This window comes from Homo sapiens, chromosome 17 (genome assembly GCF_000001405.40).
Source record: "Homo sapiens chromosome 17, GRCh38.p14 Primary Assembly".
Taxonomy (NCBI): Eukaryota; Metazoa; Chordata; class Mammalia; order Primates; family Hominidae; genus Homo; species Homo sapiens.
In genome coordinates, this window is record NC_000017.11 from 26,935,981 (window position 1) to 26,945,772 (window position 9,792).

General features: G+C 40.4%; 8 annotated features.

Moving 5' to 3' along the window:
• Positions 101–574: an enhancer, noted in NCBI's record as "OCT4-NANOG-H3K27ac hESC enhancer chr17:25262801-25263480 (GRCh37/hg19 assembly coordinates)". NCBI's record gives its function as "activates a minimal SCP1, AML or CMV promoter by ChIP-STARR-seq in naive and primed H9 embryonic stem cells {active_cell/tissue: H9 hESC(naive and primed)}" and the evidence as "EXISTENCE:reporter gene assay evidence [ECO:0000049][PMID:30033119]".
• Positions 475–1,152: an enhancer, noted in NCBI's record as "OCT4-NANOG-H3K27ac hESC enhancer chr17:25263481-25264158 (GRCh37/hg19 assembly coordinates)". NCBI's record gives its function as "activates a minimal SCP1, AML or CMV promoter by ChIP-STARR-seq in naive H9 embryonic stem cells {active_cell/tissue: H9 hESC(naive)}" and the evidence as "EXISTENCE:reporter gene assay evidence [ECO:0000049][PMID:30033119]".
• Positions 1,153–1,830: an enhancer, noted in NCBI's record as "OCT4-NANOG-H3K27ac-H3K4me1 hESC enhancer chr17:25264159-25264836 (GRCh37/hg19 assembly coordinates)". NCBI's record gives its function as "activates a minimal SCP1, AML or CMV promoter by ChIP-STARR-seq in naive H9 embryonic stem cells {active_cell/tissue: H9 hESC(naive)}" and the evidence as "EXISTENCE:reporter gene assay evidence [ECO:0000049][PMID:30033119]".
• Positions 1,831–2,508: an enhancer, noted in NCBI's record as "OCT4-NANOG-H3K27ac-H3K4me1 hESC enhancer chr17:25264837-25265514 (GRCh37/hg19 assembly coordinates)". NCBI's record gives its function as "activates a minimal SCP1, AML or CMV promoter by ChIP-STARR-seq in naive H9 embryonic stem cells {active_cell/tissue: H9 hESC(naive)}" and the evidence as "EXISTENCE:reporter gene assay evidence [ECO:0000049][PMID:30033119]".
• Positions 2,509–3,188: an enhancer, noted in NCBI's record as "OCT4-NANOG-H3K27ac-H3K4me1 hESC enhancer chr17:25265515-25266194 (GRCh37/hg19 assembly coordinates)". NCBI's record gives its function as "activates a minimal SCP1, AML or CMV promoter by ChIP-STARR-seq in primed H9 embryonic stem cells {active_cell/tissue: H9 hESC(primed)}" and the evidence as "EXISTENCE:reporter gene assay evidence [ECO:0000049][PMID:30033119]".
• Positions 3,189–3,866: an enhancer, noted in NCBI's record as "OCT4-NANOG-H3K27ac-H3K4me1 hESC enhancer chr17:25266195-25266872 (GRCh37/hg19 assembly coordinates)". NCBI's record gives its function as "activates a minimal SCP1, AML or CMV promoter by ChIP-STARR-seq in primed H9 embryonic stem cells {active_cell/tissue: H9 hESC(primed)}" and the evidence as "EXISTENCE:reporter gene assay evidence [ECO:0000049][PMID:30033119]".
• Positions 3,867–4,544: an enhancer, noted in NCBI's record as "OCT4-NANOG-H3K27ac-H3K4me1 hESC enhancer chr17:25266873-25267550 (GRCh37/hg19 assembly coordinates)". NCBI's record gives its function as "activates a minimal SCP1, AML or CMV promoter by ChIP-STARR-seq in primed H9 embryonic stem cells {active_cell/tissue: H9 hESC(primed)}" and the evidence as "EXISTENCE:reporter gene assay evidence [ECO:0000049][PMID:30033119]".
• Positions 4,545–5,222: an enhancer, noted in NCBI's record as "OCT4-NANOG-H3K27ac hESC enhancer chr17:25267551-25268228 (GRCh37/hg19 assembly coordinates)". NCBI's record gives its function as "activates a minimal SCP1, AML or CMV promoter by ChIP-STARR-seq in primed H9 embryonic stem cells {active_cell/tissue: H9 hESC(primed)}" and the evidence as "EXISTENCE:reporter gene assay evidence [ECO:0000049][PMID:30033119]".

Sequence of the window (9,792 nt, forward strand, 5' to 3'; positions counted from 1 at the left end):
GAATTCAATGGAGTGGACTGGAGTGCTGTGGGGTGGAGTGGAATGGAGTGTAGTTGAATGGAGTGGAATGGAATGCGATGGAATGGAGTGGAGTTGAGCAGAGTGAAGTGGAAAGGTGTAGAATGGAATGGAATGGAGTGGAGTGGAGTGGACTCGAATTGAGTGGAGTGGAATGGAATGGAGTGGAATGGCGTGGAGTGGAATGGAGTGGAGTGGAGTTTACTGGAATGGAGTGGAATGGAGTGGAGTGGATTCGAATGAAAAGGAGTGGAGTGGAGTGGAATGGAATGGAGTGGACTGGAATGGAATGGAGTGGAGTGGAATGGAGTAGAGTGGAGTGTAATGGAATGGAATGAAATGGAGTGGAATGGAATGGAATTGAATGCAATGGAGTGGAATGGCGAAATGAAATGTGAGCTGAGATTGTGCACTGCCCTCCAGCCTGGGTGAGAGAGTGAGATCCTGTCAAAAGAAAACAAAGGAATGGAATGGATTTAGAATGGAATGGAATGAAACGGAATGGAAAGGAAGGCAGTGGAAAGGAATGGGGTGTAATGTAGTGGAGTGGAAATGGAGTGGAGTGGAGTGGAGTGGAATGGAATGGAATCGAATCAAATGGAATAGAATCGAATCGAATGGAATAGAATCGAATGGAATCGAATGGAATACGGAGAACTGGAATGGAGTGGAGTGGAATGGAGTGGAAGGGAATGGGGTGGAATGGAATTCAATGGAGTGGAGTGGAATGGAATCGAAAGGAATGGAATGGGAAGGAATGGAATTGAACGGAGTGCAGTGGAGTGGAGTGGAATGGAATGCAAAGGAATGGAATGGAATGGAATGGAATGGAATGGAATGGAATGGAATGGAATGCAAAGGAATGGAATGGAATGGAATGGAATGGAATGGAATGGAATGGAATGGAATGGTGAAATGAAATGTGAGCTGAGATTGTGCAGTGCAATGCAGCCTGGGTGACCTAGTGCGATCCTGTCAAAAGAAAGGAATGGAATTCAATAGATTTAAAATAGAATATAATGGAATAGAGTGGAGTGGAGTGGATTAGCGTGGAGTGGAGTGGAGTGGAATGGAATGGGAAGGAATGGAATTGAACGGAGTGGAGTGGAATGAAATGCAATGGAATGGAATTGAATGGAATGGTGAAATGAAATGTAAGCTGAGATTGCGCACTGCACTCCAGCCTGGGTGACAGAGTGAGATCCTGTCGAAAGAAAGGAAGGGAATTGAATGTATTTAGAATGGAATATAATGGAATGGATTTAGAATGGAATGGAGTAGATTGGAGTGGGGTGCAGTGGAATGGAGTGGAGTGGAATGGAGTGCAGTGGAATGGCGTGGAGTGGAATGGAGTGAAGTGGAATGGAGTGTAGTGGAATGGAGTGGAGTGGAATGGAATGGAATGGAATGGAAAGGAATGGAGTGAAAAGAAGTGAAATGGAGTGGGATGCAATGGCATGGAATGGAGTCGAGCGGAGTGGAGTGGAATGGAGTGGAGTGCAGTGGAATGGAATTGAGTGGAATGTAATGTAATGGAATGTAGTGGAATGGAATATAATGGAAGGGAATGCGATGGAGTGGAGTGGAGTGGAATGGAGTGGAGTGGAGTGGAATGGAGTGGAGTGCAATGGAGTGGAATGGAATGGAATGGAGTGGATTGGAATTGAATGGAATGGAATAGAATGGAATGGAATGGAATCGAATGAAATGGAATTGAACAGCATCAAATGGAATTGAATGGAATGTGGTGAAGTGGAGTGGAGTGGAGTGGAAGGGAGTGGAATGGAATGGGGTGGAATGAAATTTAATGGAATGGAGTGAAGTGGAGTGGAATGGAGTGGAGTGGAATGGACTGGGAATGAATGGAATTGAATGGAGTGGAGTGGAGTGGTGTGGAATGGAATGCAATGGAATGGAATGGACTGGAATGGTGAAATGATATGTGAGCTGAGATTGTGCACTGCACTCCAACCTGGTGACAGAGTGAGATCCTGTCATAAGAAAGGAATGGAATGGAATGGATTTACAATGGAATGTAATGGAATGAAGTGGAGTGGAGTGGAGTGGAGTGGAACGGAATGGTATGGATTGTTATGGAATGGAATGCAATGGAGTGGAGTGGAGTGCTGTGGGGTGGAGTGGAGTGGAGTGGAATGGAGTGGAATGGAATGGGATGGAATGGAATGGAGTGGAGTGGAGTGGAAAGGTGTAGAATGGAATGGAGTGGACTGGAATTGAGTGGAGTGGAATGGAATGGAGTGGAATGGAGTGGAGTGGAGTTTAGTGGAATGGAGTGGAGTGGATTGGAATGAATGGGAGTGGAGTGGAGTGGGGTGGAATGGAGTGGACTGGAATGGAATGGAGTGGAGTGGAATGGAGTGGAGTGGAGTGGAATGGAATGGAATGCAATGGAGTGTAATGAAATGGAATGGAATGAAATGGAATGGAATGGCATGGAATGGTGAAATGAAATATGAGCTGAGATTGTGCACTGCACTCCAGCCTGGATGAGAGTGTGAGATCCTGTCGAAAGAAAGGAATGGAATGAAATGGATTTAGAATGGAATGGAATGAAATGGAATGGAATGGAGTGGAATGGTATGAGGTGGAATGGAGTGGAGTGCAGTGGAGTGGAGTGGAATGGAGTGGAGTGGAATGGAATGGAATGGAATCGAATGGAACCGAATCTAATCGAATCAAATGGAATCGGATCGAATGGAATCGAATGGAATCAAATGGAATCGAATGGAAAAAATGGAATCGAACGGAATTGAACGGAATCGAATCAAATGGAATTGAATGGAAAAAATGGAATCGAATGGAATTGAATGGAATCGAATCGAATGGAATCGAATGGCATCGAATGGAATCAAATGGAATGCGCTGAAGTGGAATGGAGTGGAATGGAATGGGGTGGAATGGAATTCAACGGAGTGGAGTGGAGTGGAATGGAATCAAATGGAATGGAATGGGAAGGAATGGAATTGAACGGAGTGGAGAGGAGTGGAATGGAATGCAATGGAATGCAATGGAATGGAATGGTGAAATGAAATGTGAGCTGAGATTGTGCAGTGCAGTGAAGCCTGGGCGAACTAGTGAGATCCTGTAAAAAGAAAGGAATGAAATTGAATGGATTTAAAATGGAATGTAATGGAATGGAGTGGAGTGGAGTGGAGTCGAGTGGAATGGAGTGGAGTGGAATGGAATGGGAAGGAATGGAATTGAACGGAGTGGAGTGGAGTGGAATGAAATGCAATGGAATGGAATCGAATGGAATGGCAAAATGAAATGTGAGCTGAGATTGCGCACTGCACTCCAGCCTGGGTGACAGAGTGAGATCCTGTTGAAAGAAAGGAAGGGAATGGAATGGATTTAGAATGGAATATAATGGAATGGATTTAGAATGGAATGTAATGGAATGGAGTAGATTGGAGTGGAGTGGAATGGAGTGGAGTGGAGTGGAGTGGAATGGAGTGGAGTGGAATGGAGTGCGGTGGAATGGAATGGAATGGAGTGAAAAGAAGTGAAATGGAGTGGGGTGGAATGGCATGGAATGGAGTCGAGCGGAGTGGAGTGGAATGGAGTGGAGTGGAGTGGAAAGGAATTGAGTGGAATGGAATGGAATAGAGTGGACTGGAATATAATGGAAGGGAATGGAATGGAGTGGAGTGGAGTGGAGTGGAATAGAGTGGACTGGAATTGAATGGAGTGGAGTGGAATGGAGTGGAGTGGAGTGGAATGTAATGAAATGCAATGGAGTGGAATGGAATGGAATGGAATGGAATGCAATGGAATGGGATGGCATGGAATGGTGAAATGAAATGTGAGCTGAGATTGTGCACTGCCCTCCAGCCTGGGTGAGAGAGTGAGATCCTGTCGAAAGAAAGGAATGGAATGGAACGGATTTAGAATGGAATGGAATGAAATGGAATGGAATGGAATGGAGTGGACTGGAATGGAATGGAATGGAGTGGAATGGAATGGAGTGGAATGGAATGGAATGGAGTGGAATGGAATGGAGTGGAATGGAATGGGGTGGAATGGAGTGGAGTAGAATGGAATGGAATCGAATGGGATCAAATGGAATTGAATCGAATCGAATCAAATGGAGCCGAATCAAATGGAATCGAATGGAAAAAAATGGAATCGAATGGAATCAAATTGAATGGAATCGAATGGCATCAAATGGAATCGAATGGAATGTGGTGAGGTGGAATGGAGTGGAATGGAATGGGGTGGAATGGAATTCAATGGAGTGGAGTGGAGTGGAATGGAATTGAATGGAATGGAATCGGAAGCAATGGAATTGAAAGGAGTGGAGTGGAGTGGAATGGAATGGAATGGAATGCAATGGAATGGAATGGAATGGAATGCAATGGAATGGAATGGTGAAATGAAATGTGAGCTGAGATTGTGCAGTGCAGTGCAGCCTGGTTGATAGAGTGAGATCCTGTTGAAAGAAAGGATTGGAATGGAATGGATTTAGAATGGAATGTAATGTAATGGAGTGGAGTGGAGTGGCGTGGATTGGACTGGAGTGCAGTGGAATGGAGTGGTATGGATTGTTATGGAACGGAATGTAATGGAGTGGGGTGGAATGGAGTGGACTGGAATGGAGTGGAATGGAATGGGATGGAATCGAATGGAGTGGAGTGGAGTGGAAATGTATAGAATGGATTGGAATGGAATGGAGTTGACTGAAGTGGAGTGGAGTTGAGTGGAGTGGAATGGAGTGTAGTGGAATGGAGTGGAATGGAGTGGAGTGGAGTGGAGTGGAGTGGAGTGGAGTGGAATGGAATGGAATGGAGTGGAGTGCAGTGGAATGGAGTGGATTGGAATGGAATGGAATGAAGTGGAATGGAGTGGAGTGGAGTGGAATGGAATGGAGTGGAATGGAATGGAATGCAGTGAAGTGGAGTGCAGTGGAGTGGAATGAAGTGGAATGGAATGGGGTGGAATTGAATTGAATAGCGTGGAGTGGAGTGTAGTGGAATGGAGTGTAGTGGAATGGAGTGTAGTGGAATGGAATTTCGCCATAGATAAAATCTAGTATTTCAGCCTACCATTGAGTGTGCTTATAGCTAACCAAAACGGCACTCTGTCTCGGGAATACAGATTTGCCTAGAGGTATCCTATTGCAGTCAAAGAAAGAGCAATGAGGGATAGAAAAGGTTAGTGATGGAGACACCAAAGCTGCATTTTACAAAAAACAATGTAAAAACTTTACGGATTGGTTCTGCTACCTTACTACAGTTTACATTCCTCTCAGGTGGCAGAATTGTTAAGTTTTTTCTTAAGATAGAAAAGCAATTCAGATAATCTGAAATCTCCACAGGAAGGATAAGAAGCACAACAGAAACTATTCTAGGCAGGAAGTCAATCCTTTCAACTGTCTGTGCTCCATAGATACAATTGTCTGCACTGGGAGTCATGTGCGGTACAGACAACAGCCAGACCTCTGATCCTCTCATTTGTGATTTCAGAAGAAATTACCAGTCAACTGAGTAATTCACTGACTAAAGTATACATTTGGCACTGAAAGAGGTTAGACGGATAACTATTTGTATCACCATATTCATGAAGCTGGAATATTTTCATTACTCATATCACATCCGAATGGAAGATTTTAAAAGCTCTCTCATCTTGTAAGATGGATATGAAAGAACATTTTCTGAGAAATGAAATTATAAACACACCTGTGAGGTGGATGGAAGAGAAAAAAAAAGAATAATCAGCTTGAGTTCTTCTCCTTGATAAGACAACTCACTAAAAACATAGAGAGAAAAGTACAAGTTTAAAATAATTAACCAGAAGAAGACAGCTCTAGAGTTTTTAAATGGCTGATAAGATTTTAGTCTGCTGCAAGTTGAAAATAACTATATTGCTTGTGTTTTAAGGTACATAATGAGCAATTATATCACACATGATAGGTTCAGCTGTAAAATATTATCCGTTCACAGCTGGTACTCATAAAAGCATAGCACAATGGAAGATGGAATTTGCTAAAATAAACCATCTTCTGAAAACTACTATTCTGTAAATTTAAAAACAAAGTTTATATGTTATTTGTCTTATTTAATAGGTCTGTGAAAAAAATGAGATATTTGAAAAGTAAGTGCTACCTTAATTAGTTCTTTATATTAGACAGCTGGTTACAGTAATGCACAGTAAGGTGCTACATACAAATATTGCTAAATTTTCTGCATATACTATGTATTTAGCTTAAATTATTTGAAATTTTATAAAGTAACAAATGTATATTTAAATGTTTTGACACAAATTGCAAATATACCTTTAAAAAGCGTCTTACACTCTAAATATTATTTGTCACCTATATATTTATATTTTCTCTATAGGAAAGTTTAAATTTTTCCCTTGAAGCTTTAATTATTTCAGTCTATAAAACAAACTGATAATGTTCAAATTAACAGAAAAAAAGGTTTACAGATATGTGCACAAGTATGCACTTGGAGTTTACATAATATATATAAATATATATACAAATATTTGTATATTATAAATAGATATACAAATATATACTATATATATAAAAACTCCAGGAAAGGCAAGGTAGTCAACACGCCTATGCTGTCTTGAGGTTACAGAAAACACAGACCTGTACGTTGGTGAATCAGTCTTTGCGGAAGACAAGTGACGACAAGGAAGACAGAGGAGCCTGGCAGCAGAGGTGGTTTTGTTACACGGATGAAACCTCACAGGGAGCAGCCCTCTTCTTGGGAAGTATAGATAGGAAATGGTTTTTAGAAATGTAAACGTGCCAGACTCAGTTAATCTTTCCTAAACACAGACAAGGGAGTATCTCAGGGAAAGCCTGTCTATATCAATGCAGATTTTCTCTACAAATGCAAATCTCCCCAACAAACACAGCTTTTCAGCTATTCTTGTAGAAGAAGCTATCTCCAGTCTTCCGAGTAGCCATCTTGAAATATATCAAAAAGTTGGCCAGGCGCACCCCTGTAATCCCAGCATTTTCCGAGGCTGAAGTGGGTAGAACACCTGAAGTCAGGAGTTCGAGACCAGCCTGACCAACATGGTGAAACCCCGTCTCTACTAAATACAAAAATTAGCCGAGAGTGGTGGCGCATGCCTGCAATCTCAGCTACTTGGAAGGCTGAGCTAGGAGAATTACTTGACCCTGGGAGGCTGAGGTTGCAATGAGCCAAGATTGTGCCATTGCACTCCAGCCTGGGCAATAAAAGCAAAACTCCATCTCAAAAAAAAAAGTATTTTAGGGTAATATTTTGTGTATCTTTACCTCCATATGTACAATAAATATTATTGTGATTTTTAATCTTTACTCTTCTGTGGAGAAAACACAGGTGTGATTTCTAGTGTAGCTGAACATCACATTTATTTGACAATACTGCACTTGTGTGTGTGTGTGTGTGTGTGTGTAGCTACTCTTTACCTTTGTTCTCACTTAATGATTAGATATTAACAATTAATTCAGTAACATGTATGTTTTGCAATTTCTCCATGTTATGCTTTAAATTAGATTAATCATGCCCCTATAATGTGTACATTTTAACCTTTGACTATAGGTCTCAATCTTACTTTGGCTCCTGTATTTGAATTTATGCTATTAAAGTCCTACAGCTAAAAAGGATTATATAGACTTATCTATATTTTTACTAGTATTCTGGTGTCATTTTAAATTATGTAATGAAATCAAATTTTAATTTGGATTATTGTTATCTGAGTTAAGGATCTAAATTTTTAATTTTCTTATAGATGTTACATAACTGTTTCTGAACCATATATTGACTAATCTGCTCTTTATATGATGTGCATTATAAGAGCTTGGGATTTATTCATTTGCAAAGATGAATGCTTGAGAAGTAGATATTTAATCATAACATTTCAAAATCTACTGGATAACCTAGAATTGAAAAATAGCCTATAGGTTGAAAAACTCCTGTAGTGAAGAAAGAAAATAACTAATATAAAGTGACAATATAAATATTATAAGTATTTATTTTATTATCGCCCTGAAATTTGATAATACAAACATGTAATATCTACATATCATCCTTATATCAGGTCATAAAAAATCAATACATTCTTCAAAAATTTAGCATAACAGAAAATGCACTCTCTCCTTGATGGAATTAAGTTACAAATAAAAGTAAAAATAAGTAGATAAGTAGATGGAGGTAGATGTTTAAAAACAAAGAAAAATATTTGTTTTGTATAACATAAAAACTCAATTGACAATTACAATATTTCAAGAACTTTGGCTGTCAACCGGTGGAGAGTTTTCCCCAGGAGACATTTGTCAATGTCTAGGGTTATTGTGGGGATGTCAAGACTGGTGGAGGTGTGAAATATAGAGGTCAAACGAATCACCTAGCGTTGCTAGGGGAGCCTCCCAAAACAAAGAATCCTCTGGTCCTAAAGGTAAGTACACCAAGGTTGAGAAACCATAATATAGAAAGCAAACACTATGTAGCTATTCCAAGTGCTCAGGAAAACACATCAGTGCCCTCGTGGGGAAAAGTGTAAACATTTTAATTGCTGTACATGGTGACACAAATGCATGTTGTTAATCTAAGTGGAAGAGGCTGAAGCACAAAACGCAATTCAAAGAGTTTACTTGAGCCAAAATGAGGACAGCTGCCTGGAAGAAACAGACCCAAGTATCCTTGGATATGAACTCCATTTGGAGCTTTGCAACAAGCAGTTTCTTAAAGGCAAAAAAGGGATAAGAAGTGGGATGATGCAAAGAGGTTTGTCACAAATTCTCATTGGCTTATGGAAATAACATTTATTAGTGACTGTTACACTATTATTGGGTGTGGATTGTAGTGTCTGGTGTGGCATCATTGGTTAATTTATAGCTACTGTGGCAACAGCAAGCAGCCTAGATGAACACACAGCTCAAAGAGGAGCAGGACAGAACTGCTGTCTCATTTGAATAACTCTCTGGGCCTGATTATTTCAAAGGACTTGCGTTTCTCACATGAAAGTTATTTTCTTTTCTCAATTTCAATAAATGAGAATAAATAGACGTAAAATAGATCTTTTCGAGGATGAAGTAAATGGAATAAAAAACAAAACCCAAGCTGACCAGAAATCATAGAGGGAAGAAAAAGGTTATAAAGATATGGATTTTTCAAAGTGATTTTAAGTTATTAGGAATCAGTTAAATGTTGGGGGATTTTGTCTGAGTATAGGCTAAAGGAGAATGTCCCTTTTGCCTTCTGAAGTTTCCCTGAAAATCACTAATAAGAGGCAGATAAATAGTAGAAAAGGCATACAGGATTCTGCAATGTGTGTACACTGGAGCCCTTAGAATGGAGACCCAGACACAAGATGGGTGCAGAAGCTTATCTACCACATGAAGTTTACAGAAAGAATGGGGTCTTGGATCACAGGGAAAAAAAAGAGGTTATGTGAGAAAAGGACCCTGACTAGCAACAGTGGACTTATTACGTGGGTGAAACCTCGCTGGGAGCAGTCCTCAGAGAGAATAGAGAGAAAATGTTTCTTTCAGACCTTTGGAGACCTCAGACGCTCAGCTAACCTTTCCCAGATCCAGACAAGTTAGCAGACCTCAGAGAAAGCCTGGCTGCATCAAAGTAGATTCTCTACAGATGCAAATCTCCCCAAGACAGCTTTGCAGCTAAGTTTGCATTTCCAGCCCTTCTGAATAGCCATTTTGAAATATATCAAGGAAATATATTTCGGGGTAAAATACATTGGATTCCTTCATACAGCTATAAAACATACAGAAATAATTTTTGTCAATGTCTA